This window comes from Homo sapiens, chromosome 13 (assembly GCF_000001405.40).
Source record: "Homo sapiens chromosome 13, GRCh38.p14 Primary Assembly".
Lineage (NCBI taxonomy): Eukaryota > Metazoa > Chordata > Mammalia > Primates > Hominidae > Homo > Homo sapiens.
The window spans coordinates 46,476,943-46,496,143 of NC_000013.11; the positions used below are offsets into that span (position 1 = coordinate 46,476,943).

Consider the following 19,201-nt stretch of genomic DNA (forward strand, 5'->3'; position numbering starts at 1 on the left):
ATCTGGAAAACATAGTAGTAAACCCTGTCTGGAAACTGCAAGTCACGTTCCGAGAAAACCTGGGATGAGAAAAGGATAAATTTAGCAATAATGATTTTTGCTAGATCCTGATGGTACAGGCAGAATGACAAAGAAAGAGAATGTCTTTTGAAAACAACACTCTCATAAAAAATGATGAGTTTCCATCAAAGAAGTAGAAATAAGAAGATACATAGAGTTTGTTTCCATTTACATGAAATTCAAAATAGACAATATCCAAATCTATTTTTTAGAGCGAGAGAGTGATAAGTGGTACCAGCACGAAGAAAAATAAAGAAATAAGCACAGAATTCAGCATAGTGGTTCCCATTAGGGATAGGGTGGGAACAGGCTGCGATTGAGTGGAAACACAAGGGGAGTTCTGGATCGCTGCTGAAGTGGCTACGTTGTCTGGGGTAAATATCCGGGGTTCGTCATCTCAGCCAGGAAAATTTAGGACACGGACACACACGAGGAGTTTAGGAGCAGAGGTTTAATAGGCAAAAGAAAGAGAAAGGAAAACAGCTCTTTCTCCAGTGAGAGAGAGAGGGGCCTTCCAAGAAGAAAGACTGGCCAGTGGCAGATGATCCGAATTGTATGTATAGTCAGGTTTGAGGAGGCAGTGTCTGATTTACACAGGGCACACAGATTGGTTCCATCAGGTATGACGTTTACATATCGAGAGGGGAAGGCTGGCCTCCCCATCCTAATCTTATTACGCAAATGAACTTTCCCCTTTGTGGCGCCATCTTGTCTGCTCCTTACTGTCCACATGGCTGACAAAGAGAAGGGAAGATGGTGCTGCCATCTTGAACATGACTGGCACAACTGCCAGGATCTATGTCTGCAGCTCAATTTTACAGGCTGCTCTTTGTTAGAAAGGAAAATAATTTGGGGCTGCTTTTCATTAAAAGGAAAACCTTACTGAGGACTTCTGTACTCCTCACTATCTGCCTAAGTAATTTATTTTTTTTTTTTGAGATGGAGTCTCACTCTGTCGCCCAGGCTGGAGTGCAGTGGCGCCATCTCAGCTCACTGCAAGCTCCGCCTCCCGGGTTCACGCCATTCTCCTCCCTCAGCCTCCGGAGTAGTTGGGACTACAGGTGCCCGCCACCACGCCCGGTTAATTTTTTTTTTGTATTTTTAGTAGAGACGGGGTTTCACCGTGTTAGCCAGGATGGTCTCCATCTCCTGACCTCGTGATCCGCCTGCCTTGGCCTCCCAAAGTGCCGGGGTTACACGCGTGAGCCACCGCGCCTGGCCTAAGTAATTTCTTCTTAACTCCTGTATCATTGGTAATGTTATATTTCTTAATCTGGGTGGTAGTTATATAAAGTGTCGTGTGGTCTGAATGCGTCTCCAGAAATGGTGTTGAAAATGTAATCCCAAGTGCAACAGTATTAGGAGGTGGGGCCTTTGGGAGGTGTTTAGGTCATGAGGCTCCACCCTCATCAAGGCCCTTACAAAAGAGGTTTGCAGGAATGGGTTCACTCTCTTTTACTGTTTTGGGACATGAGGACAAATTGTTGGACCCTGCTTGCCCTTCCACCTTCCACCATGTGAGAATGCGGTATCTAGCCAATTACCATAGCACAGGGGTTAAGTGCACAGACACCAGAGCCAGGCTATCTGAGAACCTGACAAGAAGGCTCTCACCAGACACCAGATGCTGGCACCTCGATCTTGGACTTCTCAGTTTCCATAACAGAGAAATAAACTCTCTTTTTTGCCTAGTCAGATATTGTGGATAGCAGCACAAAAAAGCCTAAGACAGGGAGTTTGTGATATAATTATTCACTAAACAAAACATCTGTTTTATGCATTTTTTACGAGTGCATGTTTTATTTCACAATTTTTTAAATGAGATAAATGGCTACATTAATCATCCCTAGAAAGATAAACATTCTCTCAAAGATGAGACTTGGGCACCATTGAATATTTAGTGACTGACACACTCTGGGTTTCACTAGAGTGAGTCTCTCACTTTGGTATCCCTGAAAGTCCTTCATATTTAGGATTAGAAGCTGAGGGAGCCACCAGCCTTGATGCTGGCTTCTCCATGAAAGTCCTGGCACCATAGGCAGCAAGGGCAGGAGCTGAAATATGAAGGGATGGACAAAAGTTGGGGGAGCACGATTAGGAAAAAGAAGACACAAGGCAGACCAGGGAGACCAGAGCTCATAGTGGGAATCAAGTGTCAAGTAGGCAGAGCTACTGGCAATAAGAGCAAGGCTAGATGTCAAGACCAGGCAGGTAAACAGAGATCTGGACAGTTATGGAGATTGCAAGTTCTCAGAAGGGAAACTTAGAACTCCAGAGATTTGATGCTGAGTCTCCTGGCATAAGCCCAGTTGAGCTGGGGAGTGGAAAGACAGATGGGGACTAGGAGTAAAACAGACCTACTGTGATGGCAGCGGCACTAGGGTCCCAGGTGAAGGCAGTTAGAGAAATGACAGAGTAAAGACAGAACAGTGTAGCCTAAGGCTTTATGCATGTATGCATTCATTTGAATACTTCCTTGAGAGCTTACTGTGGGTCAGATACTATCTGTGGGTCAGATACTATCCTAGGTATTGGAAATCCAGTGTAAACAAAACAGTCCCTGTCTTCCTGGAGTCTATATTCTAGTAATTAGCAAAGAAGCAGGAGAGACAGATGGTAAATAAGTAATTGGACAACTAAAAGGGTAGTTTCACATAGTACTATCAAGAAAAATATAGAATGGCTTGGGGAGGGGGCAGTACTCAAGAATGATAAGTGTTTTTCTGGAGAAGGAGCAAGCAGGAAGAGCATTAGATGAGATGTTATGGGCAGCCTGAAGAGAGTTCCAAGTGCAGAAAAGAAGCAGAGATGAGGCCTGCAATTAGGATGTAGCTGTTCAACACAGCCCAGGGCCAGGAATCCAGCCACCTGGGAAGACTGAAACTACTGTGGCATTCCTGGCCCAGCGGCTGAGATACCTGACCTGTTATCAAAGCAGGGTCCAGGCTTGGCAGAACCCACCAGAGAACATGATTCCAGTAGAGCAAACCTGGGGCTTGGTCCTAGGAACATGTCAGAAGTCAGAGCCAGGCCACAGAGCCAGAATATTCTCCACTTAAGACATGATTACATTTCCTAAGCTAATTGCTTTTTCTCCAAAGAAGCCTCAGATCTCCGGTTTAGAGCTTTCGCCATGATGTACAACGTTATGCTTAAAACACATCAAAACATCCTCCTTGCTGGGGAATGCTACTGGATTCTCTCATCTTGGCTTAGCATGCTACCATATTCCAATTATCCTGAGGCTCTTTGGAGACAGAGACGGGCAGGATGGGGAAAAGCTCTTCAGCCTCCAGGCTAAGTTTGAAACATACTCTCTTTGTCAGCAGTCTTACTTTTAGATTCACCCGATAAGATCCTCTAGGATACTGACTACAAAAAGCCACAGAATCAAGCAAGATAAGGCTGGTGGTCTCTCACAGCTTACCTCACAAACTGCTCTTCTACATATTTAAAAGTAGCCCTTGGCTATTTACGTCTGCATCCTGGGGATGGCTGCTTAGCCCAATACTGCAGCTAGTTCTGGTCCTTAGTCTTCAAAAGCTAAAAGCAGTTCAGAAAAGGGGCAAAGAGGATGATTCCAAGTTCATGAACAGGACTACTCCATGAGACACAGGGAGAAAATCCTCCCTATTTCTCCCTCCATGCCACCCTGCAGAGTTCCTTGATCACATCCCTGGCAAGCTCACCACTAACCCAGATGGCTCGACAGTCTTCCTGGCCTACCTCACAGCTTTGTTGAGAGGTCAAAGGAGGAAGCTGTAAAGCATTAAGGAAATTTAAGAACCCATTATTATTATTTTACAGTATGATATGGTTTGGCTGTGTCCCCACCCAAATCTCATCCTGAATTGTAGCTTCCACAATTCCCACGTGTCATGGGAGGAAACTGGTGGGAGATAATTGAATCATGGGGGTGAGTCTTTCCTGTGCTGTTCTCGTGATATTGAGTAAGTCTCACAATATCTGATGGTTTTATAAAGGGGAGTTCCCTGCACATGCCTTCGTGCCTGTCACCATGCAAGATGTGACTTTACTCCTCCTTTGCCTCCCGCCATGATTGTGAGGCCTCCCCAGCCATGTGGAACTGTGAGCCCATTAAATCTCTTTTCTTTATAAATTACCCAGTCTCGGGTATGTCTTTATTAGCAGTGTGAGAACAGACTAATACACAGTAGTATCACTTTGAAACCTACTATAGTCCCAGAAGTTCAATAGTTAGGAAAAATAAGTTGCTTAAGTTTAAAAGAACATGCAGCAGTGTGGTCGTAGATGAACCTCCAGAGGAAAAAGGCCTGAAAAAGGCTGTACTTGCCAAGATCTGTGATGCAAATACTCCCACTGCAACTGATCACGTTGATGTCAAGCCATCAACATGATATCACAGAATTGGAAAGAGATGAGCACGGTCCACCCTGGCAAGCCAGTGCATGCTGGCTCCAACACACTCAGGGGCCATGCTAAGGACTGGGGGCTCGGAAGTAAATAAAACACAGCTTATGGCTTCAGATTAATGCATGGGCTAGTCAAGGAGATGGACAACAAAGTAAAGAACCATGATAATAAATTCTGTAACAAAATTATGTACTGATAGCAGATGCATGTGTGTGTTCTCCCAGTGGAATCTGGAACCCAAAAGGAAACAAAGCTTTAGACCAACAAAATGAAGCTTTGATAGTGGAATGGCAGACATCGGCTAACAGTCAAGGAGGGTTACTGGAAATTCCATCTCTAATAGATAGCTGCCAACTTGTTTATGAAGGCTGGCTCTAGATAAAATAGGCACTGTAACAGAGAATGTTCAATGATCTCAGCTACGCTACTGATAAGCATGAGAAGAGTTGAGTCAGAGACAGGGTAATTAAAGCTTATGCTTCCATGGGCTAGAGAGAACCTGCATCCATTCTCCTAACATCTGTCTACTTATTCCTGCTGCTGCCATGTCCATACATTGGCCGGATAGAGCAATTGGGTCAGAGAGGGGCAGGAAAGGCATGGGAGAAGGTTAGGAACCAAGGGGAAGAAGAGGTAGATGCCATCAACACCTCCTTATCTTCCTGCTCTTTTGAAGTCCATGAAATCTACTCATCCCATACCCTTCTCCTAGGCAACCCTATTGTCTGTCAAGGTTCAAGACTCAGTCACACCTTCTTCAGATATTTCAGCATCACAGTCTTTCTCCCACAGCTGCTCTTTCTAGATCTCACATTACGCTGTTTCTCTCTCCGTTTCTGGCTCTTTACATGCAGAGGCTTCTTCAACGTTCAGTCATTCTTGCTTCTTTTGTTGTTCCATAGTTTCTCTTTAATATTGACATCCACTTCCTTATTTCTCTTCCCTATGCAGACCACATCCCTGCTTGCTTATCAAGACCTTACCTTTCTCCTGAGCACCAGCCTCATATTTCAATCAGCTGGTGCACAATTCATTTACAGAGACCTCTGGAATTAATTCAGACAGCACATCCTCTGAGACCTCATCTTCCTCTTCAAGTTTCCATTGCTATTTTATTTATTTAGCAAAAGTGTATTTTAAAAACTGATTCATATCAGTTGTACATATTTTTGGGGTACATGTGATAATTTGTAATGTGTACAAATATGTACAATGTGTAATTATCAAATAGGGTAACTGAGATATTCATCACCAGGGCATGGTGGCATGTGCCTGTAGTCCCAACTGCTTGGAAGGCTAAGGTGGAAGGATCACCCGAGTCTGGAAGGTCGAGGCTGCAGTGAGCTGTGATTGTGCCACTGCACTCTGGTCTGGATGATACAGTGAGATCCTATCTTAAATACATACATACATATAGTGTATATTATTCTGTTTCCTTGTACCAGCAAACAGCTTTGGGAGGAAAAAAGTCCTTTATAATTGGGAGATAATGAAATGCTTTTAGAATGGGGACAGAACTAGAGCCACCCTTAAGGTTAAATGGACTCAGGAACAGAAACAAAGACTCTCACAGCTGCTTCCTATGGCTGCCAGCCTCTATGTGTGTGTGATTGTGTGTGTGTGTGTGTGTGTGTGTGTGTTTGTAGGTTTTTATCCACAATTCCTATCTCATAACTTCCACGGACAGAATTTTGTTATAATGTTGGGGCACTGTAGGCCAGGCATTGGAAGTAGGAATTGGAAAACAGAATCTCTCTCTCTCTCTCTCTAACATTCTCCTGTCCTCCTTTGACCTGCCCAAGGCAGGACCCTAGTCTGGTTGTGGGCCCTAAGAGCCTCATTTGCGAGAGTGTCCTGCCCCATACCCTAAAGGAAAAAAGTGCTGCACAGAGAGGACAGAACGACGTGAACAGACAGGCCTTTCTGGGTTTCCCCAATCAGTCTATTAGTATTGAATCATACCTGTTTTGTCCAATCACATTTTGACATGGATGTCCATGTTTCAATCATGCCTATCCAACAAAGTCTCCATAAAAGGCTCAAGAGGACTGGGTTTGGGGGCCTTCCAGAGAGCTGAACACATGGAGGCTGACAGGAAGGTAAACAAGAATTCATTCATGTGCTGTAAGGATGGCACACCTCAACTCCATGGATCAGAAGCTCCTGCACTCCAGACCTTTTCAGACCTTGTCCTATGCATCTCTTCATCTGGCTATTTATTTGTATTCTTTAAAATATCCTTTGTAATAAACTGGTAAACATAAGTAGGTGTATGGCTGAGATATGTGAGCCACTCTAGTAAATTAGTCAAATCCAAAGACAGGGTCATGGGAACTCCAACTTGAAGCTGGTCAGTTAGAATTTTCAGAGTCCTGAACCTGCTACTGGTGTCTGAAGGCTGGAGGTTGTCTTGGGGAATGAGCCCTCAACCTGTGGGATCTGACATTATCACTAGGTAGATAGTGTCGGAATTAAATTGGAGAACACTCAGCTGGTGTTCACTGCAGAATTAATTGCTTGCTTCCTGGCGGGGAGAAATCCCCACATATTTTGGGGTCACGGAAGACTCCTGTATTGATTGTTGTTGTATTATTGAGTGAGAAAATAGGAAAAAGCACATTAATTATTTTTTTCCACATTCAGAAGTCTTTAATTCATTTAGGTTGATTTTTGTATATGATGAAAGATGGGGATCTTGCTTCACTCTTTTGCTTATGGATATTGAATTTTCCCAGCATCATTTATTAAAGAGACTGTCCTTTCCCCAGTGTATGTTCTTGACACCTTTGTCAAAAATGAGTTGGCTGTGTGTGGATTTATGGGTTTCTATTTATAACTTTCTCCAGGTTTAGAAAGTTTTCTGTTATCAGGCCAGGTACAGTGGCTCATGCCTGTAATCCCAGCACTTTGAGAGGCCAAGGTGGGAAGATCATCTGAGGTCAGAAGCTCAAGACCAGCCTGGCCAACATGGCAAAACCCCATTTCTACTAAAACATACAAAAAGTAGCCAGGTGTGGTGGCAGGCACCTGTAATCCCAGCTACTCTGGAGGCTGAAGCAGGGAGAATTGCTCGAACCCGGGAGGCAAAGGTTGCAACCTGGGTGACAGAGCAAGACTCCATCTCAAAAAAAAAAAAGTTTTCCGTTATCATTTCTTTGAATAAGATTTTGACTCCTTTGTCTTTCTCAGTTCCTTCTTTAACACCAATAACCCAAATATTTGTTCTTTTGATGTTGTCCCGAAGATTCCATGAGCTAGCTTCCTTCCTTTTCATTCATTTTCGTTTTTCTCCTGCATATTTTATAACGGTCTCTTTGATCTGATTCTTTATTCTGTTTGATCAGTTCTGCTGTTGATGCTCTCTATTGCATTTTTCATTTCATTCATTGTATTTTTCAGTTCTAAGGTTTATGTTTAATTTTTTTAAGTATTTCAATCTCTGTTAAATTTGTCTGATAAATTTCTGAATTGACTCTGTGTTTGCTTGAAGTTTATTGAGCTTCCTTAAAACAGCTATTTTGAATTATTTACCTCATCACACATCTCCATCACTTTAGGGTTGGTCACTGGCAACTTTATTTTGTCCATTTGGTGAGGTCATATTTCCCTAAATGTTCTTGTTTTTTGTGGATGCGTGACAACGTCTGTGCTTTGAGGGATTAGGTATTTATTTTAGTCTTTGCAGTCTGGCTTTGTTTGTGGCTGTCCTTCTGCTGAGGGCTTTCCTAAAATTCTAAGCTGACTGCTGAGTTCCTTCAGCCTGTGACCACTGAAGCCATCTCAGCACTGGAGGGTGCTCTAAATCCAGGCTTGCAGAGGATCTCACAAGGACTCTGAGGTTGACATCGCTTTCTGGCCCAGATGGACTTGCAGAACACCCAAGGAGTATACTGGGGCTGTGTGGGGATGCTGGCTCACAACCTGAATCAGCTCAGCTAGCTAGGAGGAATAAGTTCTAATGTTTCATCGCACTGTAGAATGACTCTACTTAGCAATAATATATAGTTTCAAATAGCTAGTAGAAGGATATTGAGTGCTCACGACACAAAGAAATGATGTTCAAGATGATGAATATGCTAATTACCCTGATCAGATCACCATATGTTATATGTATTGCAACATCACTATGTACTCCCCAAATATGTACAATTATTATGTGCCAGTTTTTAAAAATTAAAAATTAAAAACTCTTAATTTTCTCCTTACCCATCATCTCCCAAATAAGACACAACTACATTGTATCTATTCTAGGTCATTGATTACAACCTTGTAAATAATAAATTGCTTGTTTGTTTTATCCCCTTCTAGGTTATAAACTCACTTTCTGGTGGAGCTAATTTAAGAAACATTTGTCAGTGTGCTTATGCCAGTCCCACACCAGCAGTGTATTGGCAAAGGAGTAACCAAGATCAATAAGGCTAAATTCCTGCTCCCAAAGTGTTTATGATCTATTATAGTAGAGTGACTATCAAAACTTGGCTGCAATTTGGAATTGCCCGGAGAGATTCTGATTTGATGGGCCTCAGATTGGTCAGGGATATCAGGAATTTTAATTTCCTGGATGATTTGATTGTGCAGCCAAAGTTGAGGAAAGTTGTTGCGTTAGAAGAAGCACCTCATTTCAATACAATACTGAGAGTTCTGAGGCTGAAGTAAGTAGTCACATAGTTCTATAAAAATCCCCGGGAGAGGCCAGACGTGGTGGCTCACCCCTGTAATCCTAGCACTTTGGGAGGCCGAGGCAGGCAGGAAGAAATAAGAAATATTTTCTAAACTAATGAGAGAACATGTGACATCTTTCCTCCATCCAAGTCCTCAGGCTTTTTTGACGTGATTCTTGTTTTGTCTTTGACTAAAGCAGAACTCATGCCCCGCACACTCACAGATGCAACGCCTTCAGTGCTAAAGCTGGGACAGGTGCTCACCCTCTCGGTTTCTCACTCTTACTTCTTCAGCCTTCTTTGTCTTCTGTCTGGGTGTGCCCTGTTGGAAGAGGATAACAACACATGTGTCACATTTAAAGCTTTATTAATGGACTGTGAGAAGTTCCAGCTAATTTTACCCAACCTTCACGCTTAGATATTACGCAAGAAGTGACGTGGCCTTATGATTTGGTAAAATTCAAAACAAATTTTTGTTCTGTAAAGCTCCACCTAACTGCCCACACAGTGAACTAGGATACTAATAAACTTGAAAATGTTCTAATTCCAATTTAGAGTGGTCCAGTTTTGAATATGTGACCTTGATCTTCATACAAATTTGGAGCACTCCTTTATAGCCAAAGGTCTGTGAAACAGCCTACACTCGTGGTCTCCCCTGCTTCACTTCTGCCTCCCTGCCCACTGCAGTCTCGCTTGTGTCCCCATACCTACAATGGAGATGCTTTCTGAAGATGGTCAGAACATTCCGATTGTCAGATTTTATGGACAACCCCCAGTGGGGTGGCTAAAGTGAAAAAGACTGACACTACCAAGTGTTGACAAAGATGTGGAAGAATCTGAACTCAAACACTGCTGGTGGGAATGTAAAATGGTAGCTTCACTTTGAAAAACAGTTTGGCAGTTTCTTAAAAAGTTGAACATACAGGCCGGGCATGGTGGCTTATGCCTGTAATCCCAGCACTTTGGGAGGCCAAGGCCGGTGGATCACGAGGTCAGGAGATCGAGACCATCCTGGCTAACATGGTGAAACCCTGTCTTTACTAAAAATACAAAAAATTATCCCAGTGTGGTGGCACATGCCTGTAGTCCCAGCTACTCGGGAGGCTGAGACAGGAGAATCACTTGAACCCAGGAGGCAGAGATTTCAGTGAGCCAAGATCGTGCCATTGCACTTCAGCCTGGGAGACAGAGCGAGACTCTGTCTCAAAAAAAAAAAAAAAAAAAAAAAGTTGAATACGCACATACTATATGATCCAGCTATTTTACTCCTGGATATTTACCCAAGAGAAGGGAAAACACATTGTCTGTGTCAGTTTGTATTGCTACAGCAAAGTACTGTAGCATGAATGGCTTAAACAACAAACATTCATTTCTCACAGTTCTGGAGGCTAGAAAGTCTAAGATCAAAGTACCAGATAATTCAGTGCCTGGTGAGGATCCACTTTCTAGTTCATAGATGGCTGTCTTTTGCCTTCACATGGTAAAAAGAAAGCAAGGAACTCTTAGGGGTTCTTTTTACAAGGGCACTAATCCCATTAATGAGGGCTCCTCCCTCAAGGCCCAATTACCTCCCAAATACCCTACCTCCTAGGACTATCATTTTGGGAATTAGGATTTCAAGACATGAATTTGAGGACACGAACATTTAGTCCATTACACAAATGTTCATACAAAGACATAAATACAAATATTCAAAACAATTTTATTTGTAATAGCCCAAACTGGAGACAACCCAAATGTGCACCAACAGGTGAATGGGTAAACAAACTGTGTTCTATCCATACAATGGAATACTGCTTACAAAAACAAAGCAAAACAATGAATGAGCTATTGATACATTCTCCAACACAGATGACTCTCGGTTTCAAAATAATCAGCCCAAGTGAAAGTGAAAAAAGCCAGACAAAAGAGAGTACATACTCTATGTATTAGTCCATTTTCATACTGCTGTAAAGAAATACCTGAGACTGGGTAATTTATAAAGAAGAGAGGTTTAATTGGCTCATGGTTCTGCAGGCTGTAAGGAAGCATGGCAGCACCTGCTTCTGGGAAGGCAAACTGTCTTACATGGCAGGAGCAGGAGAAAGAGGGAGCAGGAGGTGCTACACACTTTTAAACAACCATATCTCACGATAACTCACTCACTCCCTATCACAAGAGCAGCACCGAGGGGATAGTGCTAACCCATTTATGAGAATTCTGTCCCTATAACCCAATCACCTCCCACCAGGCCCCACCTCCAACACTGGGGATTACAATTCGACATGAGATTTGGGTGGGGACACATATCCAAACCATATCACTGTAGTACTTCACTTACATAAAATTCTACAAAATACAAACTATAGTGACAGAAAGCAGATCAGTTGTTGCCTAAGAAGGAGGGTTCATGACAGGTGGGAAGGAGGGATTACAAAAGAAGAGGAGGAAATTTTAGGATGACAGAAGTTGTTATCTTGATTTTGGTGATCATTTTAGGGTATGTACATATGCTAAAACTTGTCAAACCATACACTTTACATATTTGTATTTAAATATCTTGTTATATGTCAATTGTACTGCCATAAAGCTGTTTTTAAAAAAAAAAATCCCATACACATGTTTAAGTCCTACATTTACTTGATTTAGCTGCAGTGTCTGAGAAAACTGGAAATTTCCTCCTCTTTGAAATGTTCCTCCCCTTCCTTGGCTTCCAGGACCTAATTCCCCTGAGCCCAAGTCTCTTTCTGCCATACCATACAAACGGTAAGAGATTCAGTGTTAGCTGTAAAGATGATTTTCGAGTTCCATCTGTGAATTTTAAGCAGATTGTCTTATTTGTCTATCATCATCTTAAGCAGCTACAATAACCACAGAAAAGCAGGGAAACTTCAAACCAACTTGCAACTTCGAATGTCTCTATCGATGCTTTTGTATTTCCTAGCTCCTGTGACACCAGAAAGGGGGATAGGTTCGCATTTCTGCGTATTTGGTATTTTTTGCATTTATAAATTTACTACCCCAACAGAATTGCAAGACAAAAGATTCTAAGAACCAACTGTGGGCCGGGTGAGGTGGCTTATGCCTGTAATCTCAGCACTTAGGGAGACTGAGGTGGGCGTATCACCCGAGGTCAGGAATTTGAGACCAGCCTGGCCAACATGGTGAAGCCACGTCTCTACTAAAACTACACAAATTAGCCAGGCGTGGTGGTGGGTGCCTGTAACCCCGGCTACTCAGGAGGCTGAGACGGGAAAATCGCTTGAACCCGGGAGGCAGAGGTTGCAGTGAGCCGAGATGGGTCCACTGCACTCCAGCCTGGGCGACAGAACAAGACTCTGTCTCAAAAAAAAAAGAACCAACTGCCAGTTAACTCAAAGGCCTTCCAGTGTGCCCTGCAAACCTGCAGAGACCTAAACGAGTTGATCTCCAGTTGCTCACATGAGCAGTCTCATCCTTCAAACAAGTCTGGTGCACACGGTGGGACTTGGCTGGGCTTTCGCCTCCTTAGATGCAGTGCAGGCAAACATCTCTAGCTGGACTGGAGACCCCCACCTTCACCCTGCTCAGGAAGAAAGGATAAAGGAGCATCTTGGTCATAGTCCTCCTCAGCCCTGCAGCCGCTCACACCAGAAGCATAAAGAAACGGAAAGTCACTGTGCTTCCAGAAAGTTGCTTTGCCTTCCCAGACAACGATTGAGTCACTTTTCTGAGATTTGTTGCCAACTTATTTTTAGTTTGCCCAAGAGTTGCCCAAATATGTTATGACATATGTTTCTTTAATAAGTCACCACATGTGGTTTGAATTTCTTTAAGAGAGGAAAAGAAATCTCCCAGGTGGTGGGTCTGTAGTTTTACCAGGACTCTGAGGCGCAGAGCCAGGAAACACAATCCCAAGTTTCTGCCCAAATGCCCTGAGTCACAATCATCAATGCTTGTAGGAGTCACATGCTTAGCTAGTGACAAGCGCCTGTTTGGAGATTCCCCTGTTTTACTAAATTCGAGGTTGTCCTCAGTAGCCATCTAATTTGGTTACTACCAAGCTTAATTTTTAGTCTTTTTCCAGGAAGCGTTTAGCTCAGTTTCTCTTTCAGATGGTATCAAAAGGGTTAATGCTTCTAAGATGCTTAGTTCAAAGATCTCACTACAAATGTGTTTGTTGACTGCTTCCAAATAAAGATTTAATCCCTTGCTCTGGCAGAAGCAATCCTTTCTATTTCCAGGAAGAAAACAAACACTGTCTGATAGGACTATTGCTTAAAAGCCAGGCAAATCCCACCTGATTAGGATAATGTGTGTGTTAAGATAAAGGAGAAACACCACCACATGCAGCAGTGAAGGGTAGGCGCCAGGCTGTGCTTGGGAAGCTGTGATTGCTATTGGCTCTTTTGGGATACAGAAGTGAGTTGGCCAGAGGGCACTATTAGTTCCCCAATCCGTCAAGGGATATTTGTATCATGAACTGGTATTGAAAGAGATGAAAAGTCAGAGAGTTAAAGCCAGTTACAGGGGTATAAAAGTAATCAAAGGCAATCAGTTCTCCCCCACCCCCACGCTTCCCTTTGGGGTAGATGTTTTCAGAGAACAGCTGCCTCTCAGAAGCAAACAGGCAGAGCTTCCTTTTCCACATTGACAAGAGTCTGAGCCTTGAGCCCCTGACCTTTGGAAATGGGATATATAGAGCATTACAGAAGAGCTTATCTGGAGTGACAGAATTAAAATGACTTCTTAATTTTGAAACCAAGAGAGGGAGAAGGATGAGATGGTCTTGCTGATATGTATAGCACAGTAGGTGCAATCAACTTTAATTTAAAGAAATCGGACGAATTGGCGTTTGCCGAGGCTGGCATAGATTTGGCTGTCTCCGCTCATAGCTGCTTTTGGCGCGAAAGATGCCGGGTCTGGTTGACTCAAACCCTGCCCTGCCTGAGTCTCAGGAGAAGAGGCCGCTGAAGCCCTGCTGCACTTGCCCGGAGACCAAGAAGGCACGCGATGCGTGTATCATCGAGAAAGGAGAAGAACACTGTGGACATCTAATTGAGGCCCACAAGGAATGCATGAGAGCCCTAGGATTTAAAATATGAAATGGTGGTCTGCTGTGTGAATAAATAATTCCTGAAGGATGAAGAAGATTAATTTTGGGAGTTCTTTGATGAACTTTGATATGTGGAAAAAGTATTTATAATTTATTGTAAGAAGAAAGTAAAATATTACTAGTGGAAAAAAAATCATCCATCAAAGACTGTAGCTAATATAAAGAAAAATAAAATAATGTGCAGTGAATTTCACCAGTGTAGACAATTGTCCAGAAAAAGAAAACACAAACTATACTTTGTTTTGTTTGGTTTTTGAGACAGAGTCTTGCTCTGTTGCCCCAGGCTGGAGTGCAGTGTTGTGATATCGGCTCGCTGCAACCTCCACCTCCCGGGTTCAAGAAATTTTCCTGCCTCAGCCTCCAGAGTAGCTGGGATTACAGGTAAGTGCCACCATGCCCAGCTAATTTTTGTATTTTTAGTAGAGACAGCGTTTCACCATGTTGGCCAGGCTGGTCTCAAACTCCTGACCTCAAGTGATCTGCCCATCTTGGCCTCCCAAAGTGCTGGGATTATAGGTGTGAACCACTGCTCCTGGCCGCTACACACAATTTCTTACCTATTTTGTATATGAGGAAATGAAGGCAGAGAGGAGTGAACTGCGTGGCAGAGCATGGATTCCCATGCAGTCTCAAGTGTCCAGATTCCTCCAAAGCACTCTTGCTACTCTGCTGGGCCCATGGGAGTGTGGTTAGTGGTTTTGTTCATTTGTTTTCATGGCATGGGTTTGTTTTTGTTTGTTTTGTTTTGTTTTAGTTGGAAACTGGAAGTGTGGAAGCCTGGTTAGTGATGGCCTCCTGCTGTATGTAAATAATTTTCAACATTTACTAAAATATTTTGTATATGTGTGTGCACGGAGAGCCCACACGTCCAGTGCAGGAATAGAGTTCCCTGCCCAGAGGAAGTACTGCACCACATGATGAACAGTGCATGGGACTGGAGTCAGGGGTCCATATTCCAGTCCGCATGCCATCAATTTTGGGTTGTGTGGCTTAGGGCAAGCAACGTCTCTCTAAGCTCATTTCTTTATCAATACACTGAGTCCTATCATCCTCATATATTTATATGGGAGGAATATCACAGTGCTTTCAGCTCTCTTTAGGTTTCCATTACATTAAGGGGTTAGTTTGACTTACTAAAGCTTTCTAAAAAACATACAGTGGCCATGGAAAATGTATCTTTTTATCTCCTTTTGGTCTAGGGGATCTGCAGACTTCATGGAAGTGATGCTGCCTTTATAGTCTCTGTACCAAATAACAGATCACATAGTGCAGTGAAAAAGGGAGAAGAATCTTGGAGTCCTTGGAGACAACTACTAGTTTTTCACTGTTCTTTGCTTCCATATGATTTTCTGCTTTGCTCTTCAGTTTATAGTAATTCAATCGACATTTACTGCAACTTTGTGCTAAGCATTGGGTGGCTGGGAATATGTAGTTACTTCCTCAAGACCAAAACTCTGTGCTCAAAAGCACAACCATTAGTGACGGATTCGGATAAATACAAAGCAAAGTACAATCAGTTGTCAGCCGTTATAGAGACTGGGAGGAGGTAGAGGCACCAAGAGAGAAATAGACAAATGTTTTTAACCAAGGGGACATGAGGATGAGGAGGACATGAGAGAGAGGAAAATGAAGTTAAATTTGTGGGCTGGATCATGAAGGTCCTTATATGACACATGGATGTGATCTAGCACTATGGAATTATAAAAGGGTTTTAATTCTGATCTCATGTATGTTAATTCTCTTTCTTTAGAGCAACTCCGCAGGACTCAAATACATTCCTGGGTTACCAACAAAGACATCACAACCACCCTGACTACATCTTTGGCAGGTAGGATATTCTGATTTAAAATTGTTTAAAAGCATGGTTAGTATCAGAAGCAATGAGTCTCAAGGAAGCAGTTTTCCTCCAGAGAGAAGCAAGATGCTATTTCCTGGATCCAAATTTCCCAGGACAAAACTTCTTGCATTTCTCTTTTAAAAAATGGAAGACCACAAGAGGGCACCAAACTTCATCTTTCCGGCTGAGAAAACAGCATCTGGGCATTGCAAAGTACAAAATGAAGAGGTGGCCAAAGGAACAAGTTGTTATTGTTTGTCTTTGTTCCCTAATAAAATTAGAAACATATCTTTATATTACTTTGCATGAATGTGAGTATTGATTTATTCTTCAAACTCCAAATCTGGGTTTAAAAACAACAAAACAAAATGATACAGTATTTTCTTTGCAATTGGATTCCCACCCAATATTCAAGGACTGACGAATAAGATAATGAACCATCCTCTTCCTGATACTTGTTTTCAAGGCTGAGCAACCTATAACTGCTGATAGGTGGCTTGTTCATTTATTTATTTATTTATTTATTTGAGATTGATTCTTACTCTGTCACCCAGGCTGGAGTGCAGTGGCACCATCTTGGCTCACTGCAACCTCTGCCTCCCGGGTTCAAGCAATTCTTGTGCCTCAGCCTCTCAAGTAGCTGGGATTACAGGCATGTGCCACCACACCCAACTAATTTTTGTATTTTTAGTAGAGATGGGGTTTCACCATGTTAGCTAGGCTGGTCTCGAACTCCCTACCTCAGGTGATCCGCCCACCTTGGCCTCCCAAAGCCCTGGGAATACAGGCGTGAGCCATTGGACCCAGCCTGTTTATTCCTTTAACAATACTTATTCAGGTTTGGTGATATGCTGGGCAAGTTGCTAGGTGTTAATACAAAGATAAAAAGGCATGGATCTTGGCTGGGTGCTGTGGCTCATGTCTATAATCCCAGCACTTTGGGAGGCCGAGGCGGGTGGATCACCTGAGGTCAGGAGTTCAAGACCAGGCTGGCCAACATGGTGACACTCCGTCTCTACTAAAAATATAGAAAATTTGCCACGTGTGATGGTGCATGTCTGTAATCCCAGCTACTTAGGAGGCTGAGGAAGCAGAATCGCTTGAACCCGGGAGGTGGAGGTTGCTGTGAGCCAAGATTGTGCCATTGTACTCCAGCCTGGCAACAGAGTGAGACTCCATCTCAAAAAAAAAAAAAAAAAAAAAAAAAAAAGACATGGATCTTGGGATCAAGGAGCTTATTGTGAGTAGGGGGTTGGGGAGTCAAGCAGCTGAACAAACAAACAAAAGTGGTCACTGATCTAAGGAAGGCATTTTAATGTTGTAGGAACACCAGAGAATGGCCATGTAACTTATGTATCTCCCATGAAACCTGGGCTGTTAACGCTGTTACGGGAGGAGCAATGGCCTGGGAGCTTAAGGAGCTTAGGTGTTAGTCCTGGCTGGGCCTCCGGCTGTGAGCTTCACCTCCTGGAGCTCAGTTTACTCACCTCTGAATTGACACCATCTTCCCTCCAATCTGTAAAACTTTCTGGCTTCAACATAAAATTGGCCATTTCCATTTCAGTGCAAAGTTTTTTGTTTTTTGTTTATTTTTTATTATGGTGAAATATACATAATGTAAAATTTACCATTTAAACCATCTTAAGTGTACAATTCAGTGGCATTAAGTACTTTCACACTGTTGTGTAGCCATCACCCTCATCCATCACCAGAGCTTTCTATCACCCCAAACTGAAATAACAACTTCATATTCCCCCACCCCTCAGCCCTGACAGCCACCATTCTTCTTTCTGTCTCTATGAATTTGACTACTCTAAGTTCCTCAATAAGTGGAATCATAGAGTAGTTGTCCTTTTGTGTCTAGCTTATTTCACTTAGCATAATGTCTTCAAGGTTGATCCATGTTGTGGGTTGTGTCCACATTTTCTTCCTTTTTATGGTTGAATAATATTCCATTGTATGTGTATGGCAAAGTCATTTTGAAGTGGCTGTTTCAGACCCCACCAATCACATAATGGGAAGAAGGAGAGCCCTAGAAGAGCAAACTTGCTCCCTTCTCTCCAGATCCAGGACAGCCAATTTAGAACTCAGTGTTCAGAGGGCCTTGCTACTTCTGCTGGGGCAGCTCATTCCTTTCACAAGCTATGCTTTAGCTCCTAGTGTCTTAGTCCTTTGGTCTACTATAACAAAGTACCATAACCTAGGTGGCTTATAAACAACAGAAATTTATTTCTCACAGTTCTGGAGGCTAAGAATCCAAGATCAAGGTGCCAGCAGATTTGGTATCTGATAAGGGCCCATTTCCTCATTCCATGGAGGTGTTTTCCAGCTGTGTCCTCACATGGTAAAAGGGGCAAACAAGGTCTCTGGGGCCTCTTTTGTAAGGGCACTAATCCCATTAATGAGGGTTCCCATGACCTAAACACCCCCCAAATTTCCCATCTTCTAAAATCATTACCTTGGGGGTTAGGATTTTAACATGTGAATTTTAGAGGGACACATTCAGACCGTAACAACTACTCATGAAATGGCCCTTCCTTCTTATTTGTTGAGCAGGAATCTTGTCTCTACCTCATAGGAAAGAAAATATTTCATTATCCAAGTGTCCTGAACAGGGAAGACCAAGAAAATAAAGATATACTACTTTCTCTTCTTTACCTGAGAAGGCAGCAAAATAAGATGCCAGGAGCAAAAAAGAGCTGTGTGTTAAGGGTATTTAGAACCTGATTTCTCCATTCATGCAATTTATCACCGACCAGAAAATCAAGTATGGAAAATGTGGTCTTAATTACTACCACGTGAAATTGCTAAGTGATGTGGTTGCGAGGAATTAGACTTCTGGAAGAAGAAGAAAACAAAAAGCCAGTTTGTTCAAATAGAATTTTATGCCTTGCTCAAATGTAGACTAGAGGCATGTAGGTGACCATTGGCTCAAAGCATCGCTGTTGGAAACCAGACAAGGAATATATTGACTTTGAGAACATTTGCCAAACCTACTCACAATAAAATAATATGGTTTCATTTTCAAAGTGCCTCAAATGTGAGACTCTCTTGGAAGTTCACAATGCCTAATTCCCTGTCCTGCTTGAACGCTTTCTACAAGTATAGAGTAAAAAGTAGATTTGGGGTCTGGGCAGGGTTCGCTGCGAGGCTAAAGTATTTCCCATGAAGACT

The 19,201-nt window shown here is 42.7% G+C and overlaps 1 long non-coding RNA gene and 1 pseudogene across 1 annotated transcript; both read left to right on the forward strand.

Moving 5' to 3' along the window:
- Window positions 13,915-14,317, forward strand: COX17P1 (COX17 pseudogene 1; annotated as a pseudogene).
- LOC124903171 (uncharacterized) lies at window positions 15,894-16,326 on the forward strand. The gene is made up of 2 exons (XR_007063786.1): window positions 15,894-16,018; window positions 16,101-16,326. It is a non-coding gene; the product is annotated as an uncharacterized LOC124903171 (long non-coding RNA).
- Window positions 16,327-19,201: the final 2,875 nt, after the last annotated feature.